The sequence below is a fragment of the Homo sapiens genome, chromosome 1, assembly GCF_000001405.40.
Source record: "Homo sapiens chromosome 1, GRCh38.p14 Primary Assembly".
NCBI lineage: Eukaryota > Metazoa > Chordata > Mammalia > Primates > Hominidae > Homo > Homo sapiens.
In genome coordinates, this window is record NC_000001.11 from 228,072,691 (window position 1) to 228,099,307 (window position 26,617).

General features: G+C 54.4%; 1 protein-coding gene, 1 long non-coding RNA gene and 1 other non-coding gene across 6 annotated transcripts, besides 10 other annotated features; 2 read left to right on the forward strand and 1 right to left on the reverse strand.

Moving 5' to 3' along the window:
* Positions 1 to 1,218: 1,218 nt before the first annotated feature.
* LINC02809 (long intergenic non-protein coding RNA 2809) lies at positions 1,219 to 3,860 on the reverse strand. The gene has a single exon (NR_158166.1). It is a non-coding gene; the product is annotated as a long intergenic non-protein coding RNA 2809 (long non-coding RNA).
* Positions 2,205 to 2,705: an enhancer, noted in NCBI's record as "H3K4me1 hESC enhancer chr1:228262596-228263096 (GRCh37/hg19 assembly coordinates)". NCBI's record gives its function as "activates a minimal SCP1, AML or CMV promoter by ChIP-STARR-seq in primed H9 embryonic stem cells {active_cell/tissue: H9 hESC(primed)}" and the evidence as "EXISTENCE:reporter gene assay evidence [ECO:0000049][PMID:30033119]".
* Positions 2,706 to 3,206: an enhancer, noted in NCBI's record as "H3K4me1 hESC enhancer chr1:228263097-228263597 (GRCh37/hg19 assembly coordinates)". NCBI's record gives its function as "activates a minimal SCP1, AML or CMV promoter by ChIP-STARR-seq in naive H9 embryonic stem cells {active_cell/tissue: H9 hESC(naive)}" and the evidence as "EXISTENCE:reporter gene assay evidence [ECO:0000049][PMID:30033119]".
* Positions 9,315 to 9,444: a silencer, noted in NCBI's record as "silent region_1907". NCBI's record gives its function as "represses an Ori minimal core promoter by ATAC-STARR-seq in GM12878 lymphoblastoid cells {active_cell/tissue: GM12878}" and the evidence as "EXISTENCE:reporter gene assay evidence [ECO:0000049][PMID:35858748]".
* Positions 9,455 to 10,274: a silencer, noted in NCBI's record as "silent region_1908". NCBI's record gives its function as "represses an Ori minimal core promoter by ATAC-STARR-seq in GM12878 lymphoblastoid cells {active_cell/tissue: GM12878}" and the evidence as "EXISTENCE:reporter gene assay evidence [ECO:0000049][PMID:35858748]".
* ARF1 (ARF GTPase 1) lies at positions 10,018 to 26,522 on the forward strand. 4 transcript variants are annotated; one of them, NM_001024226.2, is made up of 5 exons: positions 10,018 to 10,160; positions 24,388 to 24,572; positions 24,652 to 24,762; positions 24,901 to 25,025; positions 25,162 to 26,522. In NM_001024226.2, exons 2-5 carry the CDS (start codon positions 24,425 to 24,427, stop codon positions 25,321 to 25,323), a joined length of 546 nt encoding a protein of 181 aa, NP_001019397.1. In that variant the 5' UTR covers positions 10,018 to 10,160; positions 24,388 to 24,424; the 3' UTR covers positions 25,324 to 26,522. The 4 variants fall into 4 exon arrangements, with proteins under 4 accessions (NP_001019397.1, NP_001649.1, NP_001019399.1 ...); NM_001658.4 differs by having other exon boundaries at positions 10,018 to 10,075; NM_001024228.2 differs by lacking the exon at positions 10,018 to 10,160 and adding an exon at positions 10,444 to 10,662.
* Positions 10,305 to 10,404: a silencer, noted in NCBI's record as "silent region_1909". NCBI's record gives its function as "represses an Ori minimal core promoter by ATAC-STARR-seq in GM12878 lymphoblastoid cells {active_cell/tissue: GM12878}" and the evidence as "EXISTENCE:reporter gene assay evidence [ECO:0000049][PMID:35858748]".
* Positions 17,277 to 17,336: an enhancer, noted in NCBI's record as "active region_2688". NCBI's record gives its function as "activates an Ori minimal core promoter by ATAC-STARR-seq in GM12878 lymphoblastoid cells {active_cell/tissue: GM12878}" and the evidence as "EXISTENCE:reporter gene assay evidence [ECO:0000049][PMID:35858748]".
* Positions 23,520 to 24,489: an enhancer, noted in NCBI's record as "H3K4me1 hESC enhancer chr1:228283911-228284880 (GRCh37/hg19 assembly coordinates)". NCBI's record gives its function as "activates a minimal SCP1, AML or CMV promoter by ChIP-STARR-seq in primed H9 embryonic stem cells {active_cell/tissue: H9 hESC(primed)}" and the evidence as "EXISTENCE:reporter gene assay evidence [ECO:0000049][PMID:30033119]".
* Positions 24,490 to 25,459: an enhancer, noted in NCBI's record as "H3K4me1 hESC enhancer chr1:228284881-228285850 (GRCh37/hg19 assembly coordinates)". NCBI's record gives its function as "activates a minimal SCP1, AML or CMV promoter by ChIP-STARR-seq in primed H9 embryonic stem cells {active_cell/tissue: H9 hESC(primed)}" and the evidence as "EXISTENCE:reporter gene assay evidence [ECO:0000049][PMID:30033119]".
* Positions 24,490 to 25,745: a biological region, named in NCBI's record as "CDK7 strongly-dependent group 2 enhancer GRCh37_chr1:228284937-228286136".
* Positions 24,546 to 25,745: an enhancer, noted in NCBI's record as "CDK7 strongly-dependent group 2 enhancer chr1:228284937-228286136 (GRCh37/hg19 assembly coordinates)". NCBI's record gives its function as "activates an origin of replication core promoter dependent on BRD2, BRD4, P300/CBP, MED14 and CDK7 cofactors, with strong dependence on CDK7, by STARR-seq in HCT116 cells {active_cell/tissue: HCT116}" and the evidence as "EXISTENCE:reporter gene assay evidence [ECO:0000049][PMID:35650434]".
* MIR3620 (microRNA 3620) lies at positions 24,573 to 24,651 on the forward strand. The gene has a single exon (NR_037415.1). It is a non-coding gene; the product is annotated as a microRNA 3620 (primary transcript).
* Positions 26,523 to 26,617: the final 95 nt, after the last annotated feature.

The window sequence follows — 26,617 nt, forward strand, 5'->3', positions numbered from 1 at the left end:
CTTTGCAGGCCAGTCCAGGGTCAGGAAGGAGGTCTGGCGTCTGCCTCTGTCCCCTCTTCTGCTGCCTGGGACTGATAAGCAGCCTCCACCTTTATGGCATGAATCCCACCCCGGCCCCTTGGACATCGTGGCCTGCCGTGTAGCACAAGGGGCTTCCTCGGGCTTCCACACCACCAGCCTGGTGTGATGCCTGGCTCCCAGGCTCCAAGCCATGTGCCTAGTCAGCAAATGGGGCCCCTTGACTAGCCCCCAGCATGGCTGCTGTCTGCACCTGCAAGTCCATTGCACCAGTGCATCAGTTGTTTAGATCTTTCCCAGCTGTTGCCAAGGGTTCATCTCTCTCCTGGATCACAAGCACCCCTGTGTGCCAGGTGCACAGGACCTCCTCCCACCACCTGCCTACTTTGGCTCTGTGGGGGCCTCCGGGCCTGGACCACAGCGCTGGGAGACCCGGATGGGTGCCCAGGCTCTGGGCGGGTGGCTGTCCTGTGGGCCACGGTGACACTCTGTCACCTCCTCGTCTATCATCTCCTCCCATTGGGGCAGAAGGGGGCCTGGCACTCGCTGACTGCTTGAGTTCTTCTTTCTCCCCCTTCTCCTCCAACCACTGTCTCCCTCACTGCGGCCAAGCCCCCGGGCATACGCTGAGAGGGCAGTGTGACAGCCCTCCCCTGCCCTTCGTGCCAGCCTCCCTCACGGGGCCACCCACCCTCTGCATGTTCCTGTGGCACCCAGAACCTTCCACGGCAGCCCTGGCTACTCCCTGCCTCCTGAGAAAGGGGTCTCCCGGGTGTAGGTGTGTAGCTGGGCCTGCAGGTGATGGGCAGAGGAGCTGGAGAGGGCAGGGTCACCGCGCAGTCGCCTGGGAGCCGTGGGCAGCACCCAGACCCCCAGGGTAGGAGTTAGGAGCTGAAACAAGTAGGCCGGGGCAGGCCGGGGTGCTCTGGTGTCCCACAGCCAGCCTTGCCCTCCCATGGTGGGGCATTGGGGCCCATCAGTTCAGGGTATCCAGGAGAGTCTCCTTTTCATTAAGGCCAGAGGGGGCACTCACTGAAGGACCCAACAATGAGCACGGTCCCCCGCCCAGGCTGGCTGCAGGCTGCAGTGACAGGCATGGGGGCTGGAGGCCCCTGGGGCATGGTTCTGCCCACCCCGGTAGCCCAGGCCTTGGGCACAGGCAGGCGGATGCTGGCAGCAGATGCTAGGAAGACAACAATGTCTTCAGCTGGGCTTTTTAATTAACCTCAGCCGGCCCCTCCTGAAGGGCCCCAATTAAGTGAAGAATGCATGGCAGAGTGGGGTCATGCTCCGGGCGGGTTTTAATTAAAGCTCCGTGGCCTGGGCAGGAGCGCCCCCGCCTGACTGCCTCCTCCCTTGTTCTTGTGCTGGGCGACCACACACCTCCAATGGGTGCTACAGGCCTCTCCTCCTCCCGCCTGTCAGGCCCCAGACCAGGCAGCCCCTCTCTGAGCCACCATCCCGTCCTGGCATAGTCCCACCCACCTGCTGGTTCAAGCATTGGCTGAGCGTCTGTGGTGTGTCCACTGCAAAGGCAGACAGAAATCACACAACTAGTAACCATGTCAGATGTGCACATGCCATGAAGAAAGCAGGTGAGGTGAGGGACAGAGAGGGCTGGGCCACCATGCCCAGGAAAGGAACCTGCAGGAGGCAGGCAGGGAGTGCACCTGGAGGGTGGGCTCTGTGGACAGGAGCAGGGGCCTGGCTGAGCAGCTGAGGGGTCAGCCTGTGGACGCCCGCATGCAAGAATGAGAGGGAAGACAGACATGTCTCCGGAGAAGATCTATAAACAGCAGCAAGCACATGGAAAGACGCTCAAAGTCACGAGTCCTTCAGGACAGGCAAATCAAAACCACCATGAGACACCAGCTCACCCCATCAGGATGGCAGCTATTAGAGAAACAAACAAAAAAAAGTCACTGGATGCAGTGGCTCTCGCCTATAATCCCAGCTACTCAGGAGGCTGAGGTGGGAGGATCGCTTGAGGCCAGGAATTTGAGATCAGCCTGGGCAACATACTGAGACCCAGTCAGTACAAGAAAAAATATATTAATTAGCTGGCATGGTGGTGCGTGCCTACCATCCCAGGTACTCAAGAGGCTGAGGTGGGAGAATTGCTTGAGCCCAGGAGGCGGAGGCTGTAATGAGCCAAAATCACGCCACTGTACTCCAGCCTGGGTGACAGAGCAAGACCCTGTCTCTTAAAAAATTTAAATTATTTTTAAAAGGTTAAAATGGTAAGTCCTATGTTATGGGTATTTTACCACAATTTTTAAAATGAGAAAAATTTGAGGACAGAGGGCTGTGGGTATGGGGGGCTTTCAGCCGCACTCAGCAGAACAGGGGCTGCGTGGGGCTTCTGAGCAGGGACCCACACCAGGGGCCTGGCTCCCCACAAGACCCCCAGCCTCACACAATGGGGTGTGCCCCAGGACCGTGAGCCACGTATTCACGGGTCCCACCAGAAGAGCACATGCGTCCAAGAACAGCAGCTGGGCAGGGGTAGCAGGCAGGCACGTGTGTCCTGCTTTGTTCAGGGCATCTTTGCATTAATCGCCACTGCAGGACCAACATTCTCCACAACTGGCTTCCTTTAGAGACACCTGGCCTTGGGAGCAATGAACGAGGGAAGGGAGGGTCTCCTCCAGGGTCACCATGAGCACTCTCCTCTGCCCAAGCCACGCCCCCTGGCCAGCCCCGACTCTCTCTCTCAAATCTGAGCGCCAAGGACTCCCTCCCCAACGAGCCTTGTGCTGGGGGATCCCCTTGGTTCTTCTGGGGATTCGGGATACAGTGTGCCCAGGAAGGGAGTAGTCTGATCCTAGCAACCAGAGTCACCGTGGCAACAGGTGACATCAGAGCCCAGCAGCCCTGAGCCTTACACGGGACCCAACCTGCTGCCCAAACTGACCCATGGGGGAGACACATGTCCGGCTGGACAGGTCAGGTGGCTGCCTGCAGAAAACTCATGACCCTGAGGCCGTGTGGGCAGACACCCTATGCAGGGGTGCAAAGAGGATCATCTGAGGAACCCCAATGCTTTTAGCCCCAGGTATTTGACTCTCCCGGCCTTGGCACCAGACATGAGGGAAGGAGGTATACTGGCATCACAGGGTGGCCACAGCAAGTTACCACAACCTGGGTGGTTCACAACAGCAAGGGAGGTATTTCCTCGCAACTCTGCAGCCAGAAGCCCCACATTGAGGTGTCCCGGGCATGCTCCCTCCAAAGGTTCTGGGGAGGACCCTGCACAGCCTCCTCCAGCTCCTGGTGGCTCAGGTGCCTCAGGCGCATGGCCACACACTCCAGTCTCTGGCCTGTCTTCATGGCTGGTTCCCGATCTGTGCATCTCAGATCCCCCTCCTCTTTCTCTTAGACGATCACCTGTTACGGGTCCAGGGCCCACCCTAATCCAGGATGGCCTGGTCTCGACGTCACTCATTGAGGATGTCTGCCAAGACCCTGGTTCTACAGGAGGTCCTGCTCCAAGGCTCCAGCTGGATGTGAAGGGGGGTGCCCAACCTACCCCACTACAATACCTTCGAGGTAAACCCAGGCACTGACACCTCAGTTGAGACCTTAGAGCAGAACCAGGTTGCCATGGAGCCCAGGGTCCTGCTTCCCAGGAACTGTGAGAGACCATCTATGTGGACTGCTGTTTTAAACCACTAAGGTTTGCTAGAATTTGTCACCAAGCCTCGGAACACAGACGGGGACCAACAGTTCCCCTCTCCCCAAACAAGACAGGGGCCATTCAGAATCCAGTGCCTTTGTTGTGGACTGCTGTGTCCTCTGGGTCCTGTCTGCCCTATGCGGAACAAGATCCATTTGGTTTTTTGTTCTTTTTTTGTTGGAGACAGAGTCTCGCTAGAGTGCAGTGCAGGCTAGAGTGCAGTGGCATGATCAGGGCTCACTGCAGCCTCGAACTCCTGGCCTCAAGTGATCCTCCTGCCTCAGCCTCCTGAGTAGCTGGGAGTATATATACATCAAGACACTCAGCTAAGTTTTTAATGTTTTGTAGAGACGGGGTCTCACTATGTTGCCCATGCTGGTCTCAAATTCCTGAGCTCGTGATCCTCCTGTCTCAGCCTCTCAATGTGCTGGGATTACAGGCTGAGCTACCATGCCTGGCCACTTTGATTTTAGTGTCCTTCTCTGGGGTAGTGAAAAGTTGACCACCCTATAGGAGTCCCCAGTATCATTTTGAGACATTACTGCTCCGTGCAGCCCCAAGCTGGGAAGGTCACACACAGAGTGAGTCTGTGATGCATCTTGGAGACAAGGCCCCCAGCCCAGGCGTACCTCTCCTGCTAGCCTCTGCCTGGAAGCTTGGAAGGTGAAAAGGAAGCCCTGAAAGAGAGGTGCAGACCCCAGCCCCCTAAAACCTGGAGGTGGGTCTCAAGAGAAAAGCTTCACCCAGGAGGAGCCCGGCAGGCACCTTCACAATGTGCCTCTCCCTTTCCCCCATCCGTGGGGGCCTGGCCCTTCCTCACTCCCAGCCCCGCCACCTCATAGGGACGTCACCCAGGCGTTGCCATGGCCCCATGCCCTGGTCAGCCTCCTGCTGGTGTCCTCATCACACCTCCATGTGGAACCTCTCTCGCACCCACCTCCAGGCCTCATCCAGATGAGACCCCTGCCCCTTCACCCACATGGCCCTTCCCAAACGGGGCACACTCAGTCATTCTCTAAGGACAAAGGGAAGCCCCCCAACCAGCTTTCCTCACCAACACATCTCTCCCATCTCTGACTTCCTGCCGCACAAGGATCGCCTTAAACAAGCCTTACTTGATGCCAACAACCCCCGACAAGCAGAGCCTTTTGTCAAAAGTCTGCTTAGCCTCTTGTATGCCCACAGCAATGGTAGCTCACTGCCAAGATGCTTCCACATTTGGAGATGCAATCTGTTCTGTGTTGGCCCCTGCCACTGGCCTGGCTGTGTCCCCTGCCACAGACCCCGTCTGTCTCCCAGTCCCTGGTTGCCCCCAGAGAGCTCTGACTCAAAAAGGCCCTAGAGCAAAGTAGCTCCACACCTTCAGCCATGTCTCTTCAAAGCCGTGGGGCAGCACCCAGTGCATTCCCAGGGCTCTGAGCTCAGATACAGGTCTCGACGGTGGCCAAGGAGATCCCAGGCAGGCCTTGAGCTGTAGGGCAAAGTTGGTCACTTTACAGAATCCCAGGTTCTGACATCCAGCCTGGAAGTAGACCGGAAAGATCCCTCTCCCCCAGGATCCCCCCGGGGGTCTCAAGGCTCAAGTAGCCATGATCATGCCACTGCACTCCAGCTGGGGTGACAGAAAGAAGGAAGGAAGGAAGGAAGGAGGGAAGGAGGGAGGGAGGGAGGGAAGGAAGGAAGGAGGGGGAGGTACTAGGGTGGGGAGTTGGCAGGTAGACAACTTGCCCAAGTCCCACGGGCAGAAGGGAGTGTCCGAAAGTAGGCAGAGGCCCACAGTCAGGGCCACTGTCTGAGTCCAGGACAGGCAGAAGGCTCATGTGTGCAGGCAGGGACCACTCTAGCTGACAAGTGGGGTTTCACCAATGCCTACGATAAGTGATGCACGGGACTGGGGAAATGGTGCCATCAGACACTTTAAGACTTGTGGCATGTCACTTTGGGGATGCCAGGTATTTTGTTATCCTGATAGGAGGAGTGGATCGGTACATGTACCCAGAGTCAGAACTTCTTTTGTTATTAGCACCTGAAATGATAAAACCAGGCCGCCTCTGTCACTCCAGTTGATCGAGGAGTATAAACAATATTTCCAGCCAGGCGTGGTGGTACCCCCCTGTACTGCCAGCATTTTGGGAGGCTGGGTTAGGAGGGTCATTTTCCCAGTTCAATACCAGCCCAAGCAACAAAGCAATACCTTGTCTTTAAAAATAAAAATAAAAAAGAGAGAAAATATTTACAGATTTCATGCAACAGCTCTGAGATGAAAAGTTCTGATATTTCAGCAACAAAAACCACAGGTATTGCTAATACTGCTTTTGGGGAATGCTGCTTGCATTTAAGATGGGAGGAAATGCTAAATGTCACTCAGAGGTTAAGAAGAGCCAAGATGTGCTTTTCTGCAATCCCTCCCCAGGGTGCTCACCTCACCGGCTCCCCATTTGTCCACCCAGGCATGACAATAGGCTGGAACCAGAGAGAAAACAGTCCTTTCCCTGAGAAGCCAGCCTGCCTGGGAAAACAAGGTCCCCTGAGAGCTAGTCCAGGGGAGGGACATGTGCAGCTCTAGGCTTTCATCTGAGGTTTGGAGGGCTGGCAGGAGATGGGGAAACTGAGGCCGGAGTGAATATAAGGGGAAACAGGTGATGCTTTAAAAGGACCAGAAATCAGACGACTGTGAGCAAACTCCCTGGAGTTCACGGAACTCAACTGTAATTTCCTAAGCCACTGTGTAGTGCAGGCAAGCCGCTGGGACCCTCACCACTGGCCACCGGCTTCCCGAATGACCCCAGACCCCAGCCCAGGCCCAGAAGGCAGGGCAGGGCCACCCTGAGCTGGGAGGTGGGGGCTTCTCCCAGGGCCCATGCAGTCAGCATAGCCGTAATAATTCCTGTGGCGTGCTCCAGGTCCTGTGGTGTGACCAGCCAGAGGGTAGGCTTTGGGTAGGGGTCTGGGGAAGAAGGAAACAGGGCCAGGCAGAGGGGACAGCAGGGTCCTATCCCCACCTCACCCCCCAGAGAAGTCTTTAAGGGTATGAGTTCTTCCTGCCACAGGTCTTAGAGGTTGAGTGTTTGGACTAAGCCCTGAGCGTGAGGAGGAAGTACTGACTCTGGTGGAGGCAGCGCCACCCTGCAGAACACCCTGGCATCTTGCAGTGTGATTCTCCAGCTTTAGCCCACCTAGAGTCTCCCAACAGAGAGAGCGGGCAGAGCAACCATGTTGGAGACAGAGTGGGGCAGGATATCCAGAGAGGTGAACTCTGTCCTGGGATGCCTGGTGTAGTAGTGAGCTCCCCATCACTGGAGGAATCCAAGATAACATTGCAGTCTGCAGAGGCACCAAAGTGCTTGTTCCCCAAGAGGGAGGGCAGGGCTGGGGAAAGAGTAAAGGTGTTGGCAATAAGCAGACTTGGGCATGGAGTAGTCAAGCTCCAGAGGGGTTCCATCCTAGCTGTGTGACATCAGGTACGTGTGAGACCTCTCTGAACATCTGTGGCCTGGCTCAAATGCCGCACACTTCATAGCCCTGCACTCAGAGGTTGACCAAAGTGCCTGCCAGGCCTGAGGTGGGCTGGGGTCCCCTTCACCTAGCCACAATGGCTGCCTACTAGGTCTCCCACATGGGTATTCCTGCTCCTTTGCCCCAGACAGCCCATCTGTCCTTCCAGCCACCTTCCCTAGGAGGCCAGCCCGTTCTGTTGTTTGGCATCCCTGTCTCTGACCTGGTTCTCGGGTGCAGCCACCCCCAGAGGAGAGAAGCCCAGCCCAACCTGAGCTGGCGTCTTTGAGACTGACAATGGAGGCGGCCACGAAGGCTGGAGGGTCCCTGCCCAGCCTGGCCCCCAAACCCCTCCCTCCAGTCAGCTCATCCCACCCCTCTTGGCTAAACCTCATCTGATCCCAGGGACCTCAGAGGAGAGAGAAAGGGATCCCTACTCCCTAGGCAGCGTTGGGGGAGCACCTGGGCCTCAATTACCCCAGGAACTCACTGCCTGACACTTCTTAACTCCCTAGTGGGTCTCCTTCCAGGGGCAGAAATCTGGGTGTGACTACCTGGGCTCCCCTGCGCCTGTTTGGCCTGAAGACATCATCTTTGCCCCGGTGGTGGTGGGGAGCCCAAACCAGGAGCACAGAATCAGCAGGAAGGGACTTTTTATTATTATTATTTTCAGACAGGGTCTCACTCTGTCACCCAGGCTGGAGTGCAGTGGCACAGTCCTACTAGGTCACTGTAACCTTGAACTTCTGGGCCCAAGCGATCCTCCCACCTCAGCCTCCCAAGTAGCTGGGACTACAGGTGTGTGCCACCACACCTGGCTATCTTTGTAAAATTTTTGTAGAGATTATGTTGCCCAGGCTGGGGAAGGTACATTTCTTAACCCTAGGGCTGGCTATACAGGAATCCATTTTATTACTTTTTAAACTGTGCATGTATCTGACATACACTCTTTCCTGTCTGCATTTTTTCACATTAAAAAATATATATTTTAAAGGGGCCAGGCACGGTGGCTCACACTTGTAATCCCAGCACCTTGGGAGGCCGAGGCGGGTGGATCACCTGAGGTCAGGAGTTCGAGACCAGCCATGGCCAACATGGTGAAACCCTGTCTCCACTAAAAATACAAAAATTAGCTGGGCATAGGGGCAGGCGCCTGTAATCCCAGCTACTTGGGAGGCTGAGGCAGGAGAATTGCTTGAACCCGGGAGGCGGAGATTGCAGTGAGCCAAGATTGTGTCACTGCACTCCAGTATGGGCGACAGAGCAAGACTCCATCTCAAAAATAAATAAATAAATAAAAAGTATTTTAAAGGAAGGGGAGGCAGGCTCTGGTTCCCACACAATCCCCGCTCAGTGACCCTGGAGCCACCCCTGGCCACGCTCTGCCAGCAGAGAACCAAAGCCAGGTCCCTTCAGCCCTAAAGAGGCCATAACCACATGTAACCCCCGTGAAATGTCCGCACATGGCCCCGCTCTGGCTGAGCAGGGAGAGGCAGCACAACCAGAAGGTTCCACAGGCATCCACAACCCTCCCTGGGGCTTTCCAAGAGTATCTGAGATGCCTGTAGGGTGGGAGACGTCCTTCCCCTAAACAGACAACCCTGCCACAGCTTCACAGAGGTGAGATTTCGGAAGGGAGCCCCAGGCAGAAAAAGGGACTAAATTTGGGGGCAGGAGGGTCACCGCTTTTGGGGACCTTCGTAGCCCCCGCAGGTGCAGCCCTGGGGGAGAGATCTGCCCATCGCAGCCTCCAGAGGCAGTGAGGACGCCCTGCCCAAGGGGCAAGCAACGTAGGTGATGGGGGCAGCAAAGGGGCGCAGGAGGCCTGGGCCAGGCCCAGTGATCCCACCCCTCAGGCCCTGCCCCCGGGCCTCGGCCTGCACAAATCAGGTTGATTCCCGACCTCCACAATACCCAGGGCACTGTGCTGCAGGGACACTTTCCCACAAGCCCAACCCCTCACAGCAGCACAAGGGAAGAGGCAAGAAGACCTGAGGGTGGTGGGCAGAGCCAGGCCTCCAGCACACGGAACACAGAGGGACTGCAACGGTCCTCTGTTCAGGTGCCTGAGAGCGGGATCTCCTCCGCCTCAACTGGATCTCAGCTTAAAGGCCAGCTCATTAGAGACCACTGTGACCTCCCTTCTGGGCGGCCGTCCCCAACCCTGGGCCCCACCCCCACGGCCCCCGCCTCACCCCGGGGTCCCCAGGCCACCTCCTCCTTTGCTTCATCTGCGGCCAGCTCCCCGGCGTCTGCTCCGGGCCCAGGTATGAGCCCGCGCGTCACTGCGGCCGCCGGGGCGCCGAGGCCAGTGCGGGGACACAGCAAGCCTCCCGCCTTCGGACCTTCCGCCGTGGCCCCGCGAGTGCCACAGGTTTCCACAGGGCCGGGGCACGTGGACCCGCGCAGCCTGGGAGCCAGGAACCCCAACCCCGGCGAGGGGCGCCTCGCACCCCCGTCCTCACGCAGTCCCCGAGGCCTCCCGGTGACTGCCGGGTGTGGGAGGAGGAAGGTGGCAACCAGCCCCGCAGCTCCAGTTGCTGCAGGAGCCCCCCGGGCCTCAGTCTCCAAATACGCCAAACGGGCGGGAGTGAGCCACAGGCTGTCTTCGCGGAAGACTCACAGGCGCAGGCGCAGACGGGTGCGCGCCCCTAGGGTGCGCGCGAGCTAAGACCGCGGCCCGGGGCAGGGTGTCCCCGGCCCCGCCCCCTGCAGCCCTACCGGAGCCAGCGCGCCTGCGTCGCGGGCGCACGGTGGGCGGAGTTCCCGGCGTCTCCGCCCCTTACCCGGCGTGCCCCGCGCCCGGAGGCGCTGACGTGGCCGCCGTCAGAGCCGCCATCTTGTGGGAGCAAAACCAACGCCTGGCTCGGAGCAGCAGCCTCTGAGGTGAGGGCGAGGGGCGCGGGCCGGTGTGGGCCGCAGAGACGTTGGAGCCGGCGGGGGCTGGGGACTGGCCTCGGGGCGACTTGAGGTTCGCGAAGGGCACGTCGACCCCCGCGGCGGCGGCGGCGACAGGGCCGGGCCGGGGGCGGACGCAGACGGGCCGGGCTGAGGCTGGGGCCCGGCCGGAGTCGGGGCTGGGCGGACGGGCGGGTCGGTGAGCTCCTCGCACCCCTCACAGGTTCCCGAAGTCGCTCGCGGCCGCTTGTCCTCCTCTGCCTGTCCCTGCCCCCGCCCGTCGCCCGGAAGTCCGCTTGGACGCCGGGCTCTTCTCCAGGAAACCTGGGCTTCCTGCTTCCCTCGCCTCTGCCTTTCTCGTTTCCCGAGGCCGCCCGCGCGTGGACGGTTGGGATTAGCGGCCGCGGGGGCCGGTGGGGGTCGTGGGGCCTCCCCCACCCGAGTACAGGCGAGCGAGCGGCATCCGGGCGGACCCCCGCCTCGGGGACCGGGAAACTGAGGCTCGGGCGGCCTGAGACGCCGTCAAGGTCATGTAGGTGGTGGGGGCTTGCATCTTCGCCTCCCGACTCCATCCAGTTCGTGTTTGCTGTGAAGACGGTACCGGGTCAGGGGTGGTGAGAGCGGGCGGGCAGGTGGACAGGAACCCCGTGCCCTTCCCTGTCTGCTGAACGGAATGCGTGGACCTCCGGGGGAGCCCAGAGTGCCTCCCTTCACACCAGTGAGACGCAATTTGGGGTCAGCACTCAGGGCACCGGTGGCCTCCAGAGGGCCGGTCGATCTTCGCTTTAACTCCAGGGTGGTTTCCTTGACGTTGTCGGCAGTAGATAAGAAGGCCTCTTCTGAGCTGGTGAATCTTTAACCTACCTGAATCTTTAACCTGCCTGCGGAACGACCTGCTCGCAGACTCTAGGCCGCAGAGGCCGGCCCCAGCGCTCTCTCGGAGCACAGCCTGGGTGGTTACGGCGTGTGAGATTGGGGCTGGACAGCCGTGCGCACCTAGAGTGTTAAATAACCATTCCGACGGCACCTCCTGGCACTCCCTTTCAGTCCAGGCAGCCAGTTGCTGCTTTGCAGGAATTGAGCAGAAATGCACTCGGAATCGCGGGCAGGAAAAGAAGGGAGGTCGGAGGCTTTGGATGGTCCCCGAAGTCGCCGCCTAGTTGAGAGCTGTAGAGTTGGTGCCACTGCCCCTGTTGGAGTGGGCAGTTGTAGTTCTTGTTTCAGAACTAGTGGTCAGCAGTTTTCTTTGCCGGCTGTTGCAAGGCTGGTGGTTCTGGCGTTTTCCGCAGTGTGTTGGGAGGAGTGTGAGATGCCGCGGTGCAGTTGTGTGCGGCCCCTGTGGCCCTCTGCTGTTGCGTTAGCCATTGTCTAACACGTGTGACCGCATGGATGGTGTCCTCATTTAATTTGAATTTTCACCAGCACTGCCTAGGTAGCCAGAACCATAAGGTCCTGAAATGCCGTACTATTAGCTGGGTCCAAAATTGAGAAGAATTGAGTAGTGTAAATGTTAGTCACACATCTCATTGGACACATTGTTAGAGTGTGTTGTCCATGTTTTCACATGTTGGTAGACTGGAGAATAGCTGTCACTTGTCTTCAGGCGTATCTTGTTGAAAATAAATCCAAATCACTGCAGCAGTAGGAATATGCTGTTGCCTGTGAGGCAGATTTTCGGATTTGCTAGTTGAAAAAGATTTGAAACAGTTGGTTTGGACAACAGCTGAGTCACACAATGACTGTGAGTGAAAAGCAAAAACTGGTTCTGTGCCCCTCACAGTTCTGGTTTTGTACATCATGTGGTCTAGCTATGGGCTGTACCTCTTGCACAATATGGAGAGGACATTCAGACATCTTCAACTGCTCATCTGCCCCTACGGACCAGACAGGCTTGAAACTATAGGAAGATGCATTTGACCTTTCATTTTTCAGTTCAGTAGAATTTAATATGGACTGTCAGCCGCTGCGGTGATCATGGAAGTAGACCTAAGAGAAAAAAACTTGTGCAAGTTCACACGTGGAGTAGTATATGACCATGGTTTCAGAGAACTGAAGCAGTTCTTTTTAGATTCTTCAAATTAAATGTCTCCTTGGTGTATTTAAACCTGCTGTTACTCACAGGCCAGGCTCCACCAAGCTTTCCTACACACTTCTTCCTGAGCTGTGACCATTCTCCTGAGCAAGAGGCTGCAGCCAGCCTGGGCTGGCGGGCCCATACTGTCTCTCATAGGCATTCTCTCCCCTTGACCTTTCACCTCCGTAAATTCAAGAGGGTGAAAGGAAATAGAGTGCACTGTCAAAGATAATTGGGAGAGAAACACGAAAAGGCCTCGCAGTGGGGATCTTAAATTATGAGAACTTGTGTTTTCTGTGTTGTGCCTGCTCCTCATTGGCGTGGATGGTTGGTAGGGGCATTCTGCCCGTAGCGTCTGAAGTGGTCTTTTGGAAAAGATTTGGCCCCTTCATGTTGGGATTCCAGGACTTGCCTTCATCCTCAGGTTAATATTCTCCTGTGATTGTTACAAGCTCTCTAAGGCATAGTTGCATTTATTGCCTTACAGCTGCGCAGCTGCCGCACCGTCCAGATAGGTAGTTTCACATTCTCAGGTGGGTCAGATGACCTTGTTAGCGACTTGACAGACATGTCCTGGATGCTCTTTGTTCCCAGGAGGCTCTCAGGTCCTCCCCCAGGGTCCTGTCACTCAGCCACCTACAGGGATGGGGAGACAGTGAGGCTGGCTGATAAGCCATAAAGTCCTTGACTAATCCTGGTTTCCTGGTTCTCACACAGTGGTAACAAGGGCTTGCAGCCGGTTGTCAGCCAACAGACTGGGAAGGGTGGTGCTTCTTACAGGCCCTGATAACAGGAGAAGCCTAAATGACAAGAGAAGAGACAGGGAAAGCATAAAAGGCAGGCAGATTTTCACAGGCACAGCAATTGAAAATGATTCTGTTTAGAAGGCAGACATTCTCCCACACCCTTGAGGCCCAGGGCTCACTGCTGGTGTACAGCATGAAGTGGACAGGAGAGTTGATTCAGTCCATGAACATTTCAGGAAGTTAGAAGTCTATAGTTGTGGATTGCAAAATACATATCTGGCCTGCCTCCCATTTCCTGGCTAAAATACTTGGAATCTCCGAAGTGATGATGTCTTTTTGTACCCTAATGAGTTGACCAGTGATGGGCAGCCCCTACGAAACTTCAGGGTAGGGCTAGTCACAGGGCCAAGGCAGGATTAGAGGGTTTCAGCCCCACCCTCCAATTTTCCCAGAGTGGAGAGGGACTGAAGATTGAGCTGGTCACCAATAGCCAATAATTTAATCAATCACACCTATACCATGAAGTCACACTTTTGCCTTCAGTAGTTAACAGCATCTACAGCCCCGTGTTTCCACATTTGTACAAAGGAATGTTCAGACTGAACCACACTTAAGTACAATTTTGAAACAGCATGAGGCTGGGCGTAGTGCCTCACGCCTGTAATCCCAGCACTTTGGGAGGCTGAGGCGGGTGGATCATGAGGTCAGGAGATTGAGACCATCCTGGCGAACATGGTGATACCCCGACTCTACTAAAAATACAAAAAAATAGGCCAGGTGTGGTGGTGTGCACCTGTAGTCCCAGCTACCCGGGAGGCTGGGGCAGGAGAATGGCGTGAACCCGGGAGGTGGAGCTTGCAGGGAGCAGAGATCGCGCCACTGCACTCCAGCCTGGGCAACAGAGCGAGACTTTGTCTCAAAAAAAAAAAAAAGAAAAAAAAGAAACAGCATGAAATTCCTTGTTGATGGGAAATACCCGAAAGGCCTGCCTGGGTTTTCAGAGAGCTTCCAGAAAGCTGAATTCATGGAGGTTCCTGGAGAATGGCACAGCCAGGAGGGAAAGGTAGCGCCGTGTCTCTTCCCTCATACACCGCCCACTGCATCTCTCCATCTGTATCCTTTGTAACATCCTTTATGAAAAACCAGTAACCTTTAGTGTTTTTCTGAGTTCTGTGAGCCACTCTAGCAAATTAATTGAACCCAAGGGGAAGGAGTTATGGGAACCCTGATTTATAGATGGCTGTCCAGAAGCACAGGTAAAATAACCTGGAGTTTGTGATTGCCTCCAGGTAGACAGTGTCAGAATTGAACTGAATTAAACGACACCTAGCTGGTGTCTGCTGCAGAACGCAGAACTGGTTGCTTGCTTGGCATGTAGGGAGAAACCCCTGCTCATGTGGTGTGAGAAGCGACCTGTGTTATAAGAGTGTGTGAGAAACTGAGTTTGGGTTTTCCTATGTCCTCAAAATAGTATATTTTGAAAGCCTTCTAGGCAGAATGTATTAAAATAGTTTTTACTCCCTGAAGGGATGCCAGCAAGCTAGAAAGATTCATTTCCAAAGGGCTTCCAGTGGTAGCATGGCTAGACATGAGACATCTTTCCATTTGTGTCATACAGCAAGTTATTTTTGCAGTACCATATACGCTATGCGGGAAACTTTTAAGTATTTTATAGGTTTGATTTAGGTACAAATGGCCAAGAAGCTATCATCTATACTCATCCTGGGGATTGGGAACGGAGGCAGTTAGATGTGCCTGTGCTTTGTACCTTCTGTAGATGGGAATGCAGTTGCTCACTCACCAATCAAATTTATTGATTTATATTTAAAATACTATGAATACATCTTCTGGCAATTTTGGTGGTGACATTTTCCTTAAAATATTTGTACTAGCCAGGCACTGTGGCTCACACCTGTGTAGTGCAATCTACTTGGGAGGCTGAGGCAGGAGAGTGGATCACTTGAACCTAGGAGGTCAAGGTTGCAGTGAGCTGTGATCATAACCACTGCACTCCAGCTTGAGTAACAGAGCAGGACCCTTAGCTCTTAAAAAAATTTATACCTACTCATCAGCTGAGGACCTGGGGGCAGGTTTAGAAAACAGATTTTGAACACACATCCTTCCCTCCCTCTTGTGTCTGACATCACTGAGCTGCCACACTTTTGCCTTCAGTAGTTAACAGCATCTACAACCCCATTTTCCCACATTTTTATGGTCAAAAGAATGTTCAGACTGACCCACACATGAGTACAGTTTTTAAAAAGCATGCAATTCCTTGTTGATGCGATAGGTTTTTCGTGACGAACTTAATTTTTAGGGAAAGCACATCTGCAGATGTGTACAGTTGATCTTCATGAGCCCTATGGGCCTGATAAACATTCTTTTGCCATTGTTTTCTCCTCTCCTTGGTGGTGAGTCACTTGTGCAGTGCCCAGCGGAAGAGGGTGGGAGGCTGGGGAGGAAGGCCTGTTCTGGGCAAAGGAAGCCCTGCTTGATGAGCATGAGGCTCCACGGGGGCAGTGGCTGTGACGGTGAGTGCCACACAGAGCTGCCCACACTGGTGGAGGGAAGGCAGGGAGATACCAGGACCATCCGGAAGGGGCTGAGTGTCATTTGACAGGTGCCATGTGAGCAGAGATGTGAAGGAGTGGCCCGGGACAATCAGGGCAGAATCCCTGAGGTGAGTGCGCTGGCTGGCAGAGTTTGGAGACCTGTCAGGAGTAGGGTGCATACTGGGTGGGAAGCCTGCTGGGGTGTGCAGTGGCCCTCGGAGGGGGTCCGCGGTTCCCAGAAAAAGGAATTTGGTAATCTGTGGTGGCATTTTTGGGTGGCAGCACTGGCACCTTTGGCAGTGGCAAGAACACTTCCTGTCTGACCTTCATGTAGGGGAGGTCGTCTGATGTCCCAGACCTGTTATAAATATGAAAAAAAAATTTTTGTGCATAGTTTTAACAGGTGTTCTGAAGTTCCAGGAACAAAATCACCTTATAAATCAAAGATGACTGTGTATTGTTCTCTTCAGAATCACAGCAAGAATTCAGTTTCCAGAAGGAAAAGCTACAGTAGTTGCTTCATGGACATGGCTTGCCCTTGAGGTTGGTGGTGTCAGTGCATGAGCAGCCTGGTAAGGGTGGTTCTCTGGCCGCCACCCTTGGTCCTCTAGCGTGGTTGTGAAGTCACTTTCCTTTACTCCCCATTGCATCATAGTTGGGACAGAGCAGTGGTTCTCTGCCGTCTTGTGCGAGTGCTGGGATGCTGTCTCTACTTCCTTTTGGGTTGCCAGAGGCAGCATTTAGAGCACAGTGTGGGCATTATGTTGTGGACCAAGGCAGCCTATTGCAAGGACCTGATCGGGCGGCAGCCGTGGGGCAGCTCTGAGTAGAACATCGGGTCACCTGGCTGACTGGTGTGCTGAGAACACGCAGGAGGAGGCTGGAGACGGGGTTCTTGCCTGGGGAACAGGAGGGAGGCTACTCGCATCACAGCGGAGAATGCCTGTTGGGTTTGGGAGGGGGGTTTCGGCTGCAAAGCTGGCTGTCAAGGGGCAGGAATTGGGAGGAGGGTCTAAAGTCTTGAAGAGAAATGTGGGGTCGTTGTGTAGGGGCCACCATCACCTGGAGAGCAGGGCAGATGCCAGCGTGTGTGTGAGAACTAGGTCACTTGAAGGGAGGTCCCCAGAGTGTCCCCGGGGTGTGCCTTTCTCTCACCTAGGTCTGGAGTGCCTCCAGAAGCGAGGATTTCCTGCAAGGGCGGTGGCCTCCCAGGGTCTGTGGGGGGGCATCCCCGTCTCTTTACATGTCTGACTGACCAGAGTGGGGTGGGGTGGCAAGGTGGTGCTCGTCCCAAAGCTGGGGGAAACCTGGTGATGGTTCCCACTCCCATTGTTGCACTTCGCTTTTGATTTCTCTGGAAGAGCAAGTCTTTGTGTGGTGTTTCCCCTCAGCCTACATTTTTAAAATGAACGTTTCTTGAAGGCAGAAATCAAGTTTTAGGCATTGGCTCAATCACTGGTGCAGCCATTGCATTAATTTTCTTTAACCTGGTGCGGAGAAGCTACAAGGGCCCCACCCCCTTCTAGTGGTTGGAGGAAGGAGCAACTTGCTCTCCCAGTTTATGACAGCAACACCAGCAGTGTGCTGTTCCAGTTCCCCTTTTTTTTTTCAAGTGGTGTAGAAAGGGGCCTTCAGGGCCCTGGATCCCCCAGCCCCACACAATGGTGGGCCTATGTTCGTCCAGAACAGTGCCTGGCAGTAGCTCAGTGCCCAGCATGTCTGTGGTGAGTGTGTAGTTCAGGAAGTGAACTGGCAAAACTGAGTATCACCCTCTCTTCCTGGGTTCTTGCCACTCCCCTGAAAACCAGGGTAGCATTGTCACATCAGATAGCTCCGCTACGTGTGCGCTGACCATGCTGAGATGGGCACTGTGGACTCAGCCTCTGGTCATTGCTGGAACCAGCGGCCTCCATGTGAGGTACAGGGGAACGCACTGCTAGCAGATGGTTGGGATGTGGACACTCGTCCTGCCCTCTTGGCTTGGTGCTGTGCCATCGCACAGTCATTCGCTGTTTAGCATGCATGGGAGAGAGTGAAGCACAAGGGCCCAGGCCCCTGGGAGTGCCTGCCCTCAAGTTGGAAGAGCCCTTGGGCACAGCATAGGCGCCTGGCAGAATTGGACTGGGCCATGATCCAGGGCATTGGGACCTCACCTAGGAGTTGGGGTTCTGGTCAGAAGCCCTGTGGAGACAGGGTCTCCCCTGTGGGCACCAAACTGACCTCAAACTGCTGGTTCTTTGGCCCTGGGGACGGGGCTGGTTGAAGTACTCTCCCGGCAGCTGTCACCTGCAGGGAGAGGTGGGGGTAGGGGTGCTGTGTTTCTTAGCTGTTCCTCGTTGCAGTGTTAAATCCCTGCAGGTTCCTTATTCTCAGCTTGTGTTGTGAGTTTCAGTGTTGGGGGCTAATGTGGGTTTGCGTTTTTGGTCTTGGTTTTCCCAGTGGCCAGTCCATCAGCCACTGCACTGGGGGCCAGGTAGAGGCCAACTGCACCCTGCCTGCCAGAGTAGAAATACTGGTAGGCCCCAGGCTCTGCTGCCCCTTCCATGTCCTTGTGTAAGCATCCATGGACAAAGCTGACTCACGGGGTGTGCACAGCTGCAGGGAGGCCAGGAAACAGGGGTTTTATTCTAGAGGGCCTTGTGCTCAGTGACAGACCAGAGTCCCATCACTGAGAGAGCAGGGCTGGGGCAGCACAAAGGACTGGAGAGCATTTGCCATGATGCCATGTGCACAGCCAGTGCAAGTCCTTCATTGTAGCTGTGGTCAGAGGTCATGAGACACTGCCTTCAGCAGCCCTGGGAGTCCACCTGGTGTGTGGTTAGAGCTGTGCATCTGCAGATTTCAGAAGGACTTACGTTTGGTGAGGTGCTTTGAAGTAACACTTCACAAATACCAAGAAGCAAGAAATACACAAATAAGCAGGTAATGGTTCTTTGGTGTTTACATTAGCTAGTGGGCAACGGTTCTTTGGTGTTCACATTAGCTATAGTCCCAGAACTCAGTCCATGAGGTGGAATCACAAAAATGGAATTCATTTCTGGCTGTCAGTACACAAACTGATTTAAGATATCACCTTGAATTTTAAGCTGACAAACAGTGATCTAAACTGAATTTCACTGATTGCCCCACCTGAAAGTCAGACCTGATAGATAATGCCCTCCCTTAACTCAAGGCCAGCAGCAGATGTGTTAGAGGGGACCCTTGTGCCTCGCAGCCCTCATCTCCTAATGGCTGTGGGGTCACTGTGTCGAGTTGTAATGCCTAATGAGCTCCTCTAAAAACATCCTGAAACTTGTGTAAAAAAAACAGCAGACTCCCAGTGGAACTCGCCTTCAGATGCAGCCCAGAATAAGAGTTCTAGAATGTGTGTGCCATCCTTTTGTCTCAATCTGCATGATTGCAAGTCTCTTCAACATGATTGGGTGCGTGGAGTGTCTCGGTCATGTGTCTTCCCCTCTGAGCATGCCTTTTGATTCGCACCTGTGTCACAATTGTGCCAGCCTGTGAGATGTGTCTGCCTGTCACCAGTATCGGCACATTTAGTTTTCCCTTTACGTGAGTTTTGGTAAAATAGTGACAAAATGTAATGCAGTGCTCAGTCACAGAAAAATGTCAGGCCTACAGAAATGGAGCATTTGGCTGGCGGGTAGCGTGATGACCATAGGCTTTATTTGGCTGGTGTGGTAAACAAGCAGCAGCTTGTGCAGGTGAGAATAAATGGCCATATTGCATTTCATTTTAAGGACTCCCTTAAAATGAAAATCTTCGTGTGGGACATGAACACAGGCTTTCACGAAATTGATCATCTACACTATATGTATGACTGTTGAAAGGCTGTTGTTCCTCAGAAATTCTTAAAATGTTATGTAATGTACATGAGTCCCTTCAGGAAGTCATCAGCTTTGTTCAGTTTCCTCAGATTAGATAGTAAAACTGAGATTATGAACTATAAAGATGTGTGTAATTTATCTGTCAGTGAACTTGACTTTAATAAAAGCTTTTTGAAAAAGAACTCTGGGTGGGGTGCATTGGCTCACACACATAGTCCCAACTACTGTGGAGGTCAGGGCAGGAGGATCACTGGAGCCCAAGAGTTCAAGATCAGCCTGGGCAGGATAGCGAGACCCTGTCTATAGAAAATATTAAAAATCAGCTAGGCATGGTGGCTTGCCCTTGCATTCCCTGCCACTTGGGAGGCTGAGGTGGGAGGTTCGCTTGAGCCCAGGAGCTCAAGGCTGCAATGGGCTGTGATCGAACCACTGAATTCCAACCTGGGTGACAGAGTGAGGCCCTGTCTCAAAAAGAGAACTCTCGATGTCACTGGCTTTCCATGTAAGCAGAGCACATCATGTGAGCCCCATTCGTGGATGTCAGTCAGCAGAACAGAATCTTGGACCTGGAGCTTGTTTGTCCTGTGCTAGAGGTTGGAGGTGTCTCTGTCTTTCTGTTGGTTCCTGTCAGTTCAGGTCACTTAGAGATTCTGTTACATACACCAGCTCTGACAGGTTGGGGGAGATGATCAACCTTCCGCCTGCGCCTGTTCCCTTCCCTGACTCATGCCAAAGTATCCCTGAGATCTGCAAGGGACCGAGGACAGTACTGGCTGGTGGTCTGGGTACAGGCCACAGAGGCATCTGGACCCCATGTGCATCTGGACCAGTTTGGTTGGATCCATTCATGGACACAAAACGGATGTGAACTCACAGAGCTACATTTTCTCCCTGCCCCTGTTCAGGCACAGTGAGGTGTCGGGGAATGTAGCTGCCAGAGTTGACTGTCCCGTTCTTTGGTGTAATGCCTGAAGGCCACCTTTACCATTGGTCTGTGGTCCTCACTGAAGAAAGAAACATTCTTCCTAAAAGACTTTTTTTCCTCAGAGTTGGAGCCCACAGCGTGGTCAGGAAAGAGAAGTAGCCACTGGTGGCTCCTGGCATCCTCCTGCTGGGCAGCCCCTTCTCAAAGTGTGAGGGGTCCCCTTGTGTACAAGCAGGAAGGCTCTGAGAAAGTCAGGTTTGCTCCTACCACAGGATAATTCCGATGAACCTGAAAAGCGGGTTTTGGCTTGTGTGCAGGGACTCTGGTGGAAGAAAGGGTGACAGCACCTGGCCTGGGCATGACACAAGTTAGGACCCGTACCAAGAGGCCCTGGAATTGAGGGTGGGGGTTGCTGTGGACTCTTTCTCCCTCTTAGGAAACTCTATTGGGTCTCCATCTGTCACAGAAGCAGTAAATGATGTAGGGGCTGCCAGGTATAGGGTCCTGTGGGGATGCTGGAACATGCCGAGGCAGGACGTGCCAGCCACCCTCTGCCCATATGTGCAGCAGGGCCACAGATGTGCTTGTCGGTAGGAGAGACCAAGCTGTCTGTGTGCCGATGTCTTGACACCTGAGACTTCAGGTTCACCCATCCTGGTTCTGCCATTCCATTGCAGGGTGGCTTCCCTCCTTTGGGGACTCTTAACGCTTTGGTCTGTTAAAAAAAAAAAAAAAAATCCGGGCGTGGTGGCTCACTCCTGTAATCCCAGCACTTTGGGAGGCCGAGGTGGGCTGATCATCTGAGGTCAGGGGTTCGAGGCCAGCCCTGACCAACATGGTGAAACCCCGTCTCTACTAAAAATAAAAATAAAAATTAGCTCAGCGTGGTGGCACGCGCCTGTAGTCCCAGCTACTCGGGAAGCTGAGGCAAGAGAATCTCGAACCTGGGAGGCAGAGGTTGCAGTGAGCCGAGATCGCACCTGAGAGGTTGCAGTGAGCTGAGATCAAGCCACTGCACTCCAGCCTGGATGACAGAGTGAGACTCTGTCTCAAAAAAAAAAAAAAAAAAAAAAGCCACCAATGGGGAGGGCCTGGGATTACTGGCATCACAAACCCCACTGCCTGCAGGCTGCATGATCTCCTGGGCATGGTTGGCGGCACTGCCCCGGGCATGAGGAGGCAGCAGGCATGTGTGGATCACGGACAGTGCTGGGGTCGAGGGGGTTGGTGACGGTGTGACACCCCTTCCCCTGAGTGGCTGGGTGTTACTGTCAATTCTCCCAAGTGCTGTGCTTCAGTGGTCGTGGCAGTCTGGTGCTGCCTCTGCCCAACTGGCAGGCGACCCTTATTCCTGAGTCCCTGCTGACTTGGTGTCCTAGGTTTATTCCTCCTAGACTTGTTAACTTGTACAGTTAACAAGCCTTTGACACCACACACCCTCGCCTCAGCTTTCCAACCCCCTAGTAATAACAACATCAGGACTCCCTGAGTATCCTCCACCATATGTTTTCCTGGAGTAACTCATAAAAGGCCCTCTTTTCGTTCCATTTCATGCTTGGGTTTTTCATGCGAACCTGTCATTATTAGTTTTTCCGCATTGCCTAGAGTTGCCCAACCCCATAATAAGAATACGTAGGTGGCGTGCCCCATTCTTGCAGGTGTCCACTTCCTGCTCCAGTCTGAGGGGGTTGGCTAGGCTGCTGCTCTCTCTCCATGTGGGGTTGGCTAGGCTGCTGCTCTCTCTCCACGTTGCTGTGGGCTCGCATCCTCTCCCTGGTTCCCTGGGGGAGCTTCTTAGGGAGGGAGCATGTGAGAGATCTGAGGCCCTGCAGTTTGGGAGTTATTTTCATTCTCCCCTAACACTTGTTGGATACTTTGGCTGGGTATAGAATTAAAGGGTTTCGAAAGCAGTGTTTCAGAGTCTTCCATTCTCTGGGGCATCAGAGGTGTCATTTGCCCCTGTGCATTCTGGAGTCCACCTTGCACCTTTATTGGGTCTCATCTAGGTCCTTGGCTTTGCGCTTCAGCCCTTTGAGGCCGAAGCCCAGATTCCTGGGTCCCCACTCTGGAACAGGGAAAAATTTCACCCCGTAATTTCGTACGTTCTTTCTTTTTAGGGTTTCTGTTGGTTGATATCTTAAGTTACTCCTCATCTTCCTTTTTCATTCTGTTTGTTTTTGTTCTGCCTTCTGAGCACCTTCATTTTGAATTTTCCTTTTCAGCTATTTGTGTATCTATCAGGTTTCTCTCCTTGTCCTTTGTTAAAATAGTATTCTGTCTTCAGTCTCCTGTCTTGGTTGCCTCCTTGCAGATTCCTTTTATATTTGGGTCTCTTATGTTGGTGGCCTTTCAAAGGCAGACAGGCCTGTCTCTTGGTGGGGGGTGGGGGTGGGCGGAGCTCCAGTTGCTTGTGTGTGGATCTGCTGGGGCATATAGAACTCTCAGGAATTATTCTGGAATTTCATGGCTCAAGTGTGTTGTCATGGCTCAGCGCAGGCCTAAGCCCTGCTGCAGCTGCTCCCCTAGACCAAGCTTGTCCAACCCTTAGGCCGCATGTGGCCCAGGATGGCTTTGAACCCGACCCAACACAAATTTCTAATAAAACATTGAGATTTTGGGGGTTTTTGTTTTGGTTTGGTTCACCAGCTGTTGTGTTAGTATATTTTGTGTGTGGTCCAAGACAATTCTTCTTCCATTGTGGCCCAGGGTAGCCAAGATTGGACATTGCTGCCCTAGGCAGTCCCAGCTTCATCCCTTGGGTCCCAGGCGGTCCAGTTTTCTCTGCCTGGTCAATCATCACATCCAAGGTCTTCCTCCCTTTTCTCTCTGCCCTTCAAGGCGTGTGTGTCATTTTGGTGTCTTCATTGGTAGTGGTTGCAGGAGTGGACTGAGAGGGCAGGTATTCAGTCTCTTCTGTGCTCCATGGGTGGTGGTCTTCCTCTGGGCTTAGAAAACCTGGCCGTCCCCAAAAAGGGAACACTACAGTGAAGGTCCTTATAAATTTCAGAACTCATTTAAATTTCAGAATAGGTGACATGTTCAAAACCAAGAGCAAAGTGTCCAAAGGACACTGATCCAGCTTGAAGGGGTTCTGTGGCTCATCTGGGATGATGGCAGTGTTAAATCAGACACGGGCGGCCAGTTCACACCCACTGAAACACACAGGCATGTGTGGGCTCTTGCTGATGTTGAGAAATGGAGAAGAGGCATTTCCTTGCCGTAGCGTGCTGGGGTGACTGGATGAGAGAGTCACCAGCGGACAGTCATGGCTGTGATTCAGCCAAAAGCCACCTGTGTGTGGAACCCCTGGTGGAGGAGGTCTGATGAGGGGTGGGTGTGCTCACAGGCTCCTGGCATGTCCTCTTGAAGGCAGAAGCCTTCCTCACTCGGGGTAAGCCCCGCTTGCGGGTGCAGTGAAGAAGCAGTCATTGTTTCAGAAAGTGACCAGTGTTTTCTAAAGTCCCTGTTCGGGATAAAATCACCTGATTCGTGAAATTGCCCACTGGCCAGTGAGGCCAAAGCCTAACAACTTCAGTGTCCTCACAGAGGCGTCTGGGCAGTGGAGGCCCTTCCTGCTGGAGTCTCCGCAGGGCTCTGATGGTGGGTGCCAGCTGACTTAATTGCTGTCCCCGATATTTGTGTTCTGCTGAGGGAACCCCTACCCTTGCGGTGTGGGGCAGACATGGCGGGCGTGCCCCATCGAGGCTGTGTCCTCATGGGAGTGTGTCCCTGAAGGTGTCCTGCTGAGTCTGGCGTGGCCCTGTGTGCTCTGGTCCTTGTGAGTGTGGGCAGGCACAGTGAGTGGTGCTCTCTGGCCCTGGAAGGTTCTGTGTTGGGGTGTAGAGGAGCCTTGCACGCACCTGGAAGCCAGTCCTCAGGCAGCCAGCCTCCCCTCCTGCATAGGCTGGGATGAGGCAGCCTTTCTGGCCATGCAGCTGTGGGGACAGCTTCCCAAGATGAGGGCAACAGTTTCTCAATTCCTGACTCAGCCATTTTCCCTCAGCCCCCATCCTGAGGTGGATTTGGGGGGCATGGGAGGCAGGGCTCTTTCCCTGTTTCCCTGCAGGCTTCCAGGAGGTGGGGTGAGGCAGTGGTGCATCCCTGGGTGGGTGGGTTCTGAGCAACCACTGCTGGGCAGCACAGAACCAGACATGGAGCACCTTGTCTCTCCAGGTGTCCCTGGCCAGTGTCCTTCCACCTGTCCACAAGCATGGGGAACATCTTCGCCAACCTCTTCAAGGGCCTTTTTGGCAAAAAAGAAATGCGCATCCTCATGGTGGGCCTGGATGCTGCAGGGAAGACCACGATCCTCTACAAGCTTAAGCTGGGTGAGATCGTGACCACCATTCCCACCATAGGTGAGGTGGGGGCCAGCAGGGAGTGGGCTGGGCTGGGCTGGGCCAAGGTACAAGGCCTCACCCTGCATCCCGCACCCAGGCTTCAACGTGGAAACCGTGGAGTACAAGAACATCAGCTTCACTGTGTGGGACGTGGGTGGCCAGGACAAGATCCGGCCCCTGTGGCGCCACTACTTCCAGAACACACAAGGTAAGTGGCTGGGGCCTGGTCCCATGGGCACTCCTGCTTCTAGAGAGGGGGGGCCAGCCCATAGATGGGGCATCGATGCCCATAGATGCGGCAGGGGGGCTGTGTTCCCATGACCATTTGACACTGGCTGCCCGGCAGGCCTGATCTTCGTGGTGGACAGCAATGACAGAGAGCGTGTGAACGAGGCCCGTGAGGAGCTCATGAGGATGCTGGCCGAGGACGAGCTCCGGGATGCTGTCCTCCTGGTGTTCGCCAACAAGCAGGTAGGCGCCCGGGCCAGCCTGGGGAATGTGAGGAGCCAGTGTGGGTTCCGCCTGGTGGTAGGGGTTACTGGAGGCTGGTGGGGCCCCTTTCTCTGTCCTGTGGACAGCCCTTCCCACCAACCCTTCCTTCCCCCAGGACCTCCCCAACGCCATGAATGCGGCCGAGATCACAGACAAGCTGGGGCTGCACTCACTACGCCACAGGAACTGGTACATTCAGGCCACCTGCGCCACCAGCGGCGACGGGCTCTATGAAGGACTGGACTGGCTGTCCAATCAGCTCCGGAACCAGAAGTGAACGCGACCCCCCTCCCTCTCACTCCTCTTGCCCTCTGCTTTACTCTCATGTGGCAAACGTGCGGCTCGTGGTGTGAGTGCCAGAAGCTGCCTCCGTGGTTTGGTCACCGTGTGCATCGCACCGTGCTGTAAATGTGGCAGACGCAGCCTGCGGCCAGGCTTTTTATTTAATGTAAATAGTTTTTGTTTCCAATGAGGCAGTTTCTGGTACTCCTATGCAATATTACTCAGCTTTTTTTATTGTAAAAAGAAAAATCAACTCACTGTTCAGTGCTGAGAGGGGATGTAGGCCCATGGGCACCTGGCCTCCAGGAGTCGCTGTGTTGGGAGAGCCGGCCACGCCCTTGGCTTTAGAGCTGTGTTGAAATCCATTTTGGTGGTTGGTTTTTAACCCAAACTCAGTGCATTTTTTAAAATAGTTAAGAATCCAAGTCGAGAACACTTGAACACACAGAAGGGAGACCCCGCCTAGCATAGATTTGCAGTTACGGCCTGGATGCCAGTCGCCAGCCCAGCTGTTCCCCTCGGGAACATGAGGTGGTGGTGGCGCAGCAGACTGCGATCAATTCTGCATGGTCACAGTAGAGATCCCCGCAACTCGCTTGTCCTTGGGTCACCCTGCATTCCATAGCCATGTGCTTGTCCCTGTGCTCCCACGGTTCCCAGGGGCCAGGCTGGGAGCCCACAGCCACCCCACTATGCCGCAGGCCGCCCTACCCACCTTCAGGCAGCCTATGGGACGCAGGGCCCCATCTGTCCCTCGGTCGCCGTGTGGCCAGAGTGGGTCCGTCGTCCCCAACACTCGTGCTCGCTCAGACACTTTGGCAGGATGTCTGGGGCCTCACCAGCAGGAGCGCGTGCAAGCCGGGCAGGCGGTCCACCTAGACCCACAGCCCCTCGGGAGCACCCCACCTCTGTGTGTGATGTAGCTTTCTCTCCCTCAGCCTGCAAGGGTCCGATTTGCCATCGAAAAAGACAACCTCTACTTTTTTCTTTTGTATTTTGATAAACACTGAAGCTGGAGCTGTTAAATTTATCTTGGGGAAACCTCAGAACTGGTCTATTTGGTGTCGTGGAACCTCTTACTGCTTTCAATACACGATTAGTAATCAACTGTTTTGTATACTTGTTTTCAGTTTTCATTTCGACAAACAAGCACTGTAATTATAGCTATTAGAATAAAATCTCTTAACTATTTCACCGGCTCTCCAGTGCTTCCACACAGGCATGCTGCCCCCAGGAGATGGTGGGTGCATCAGCCAGCTTTACTCTAGGAAGTACAGGTGACTGCCTAG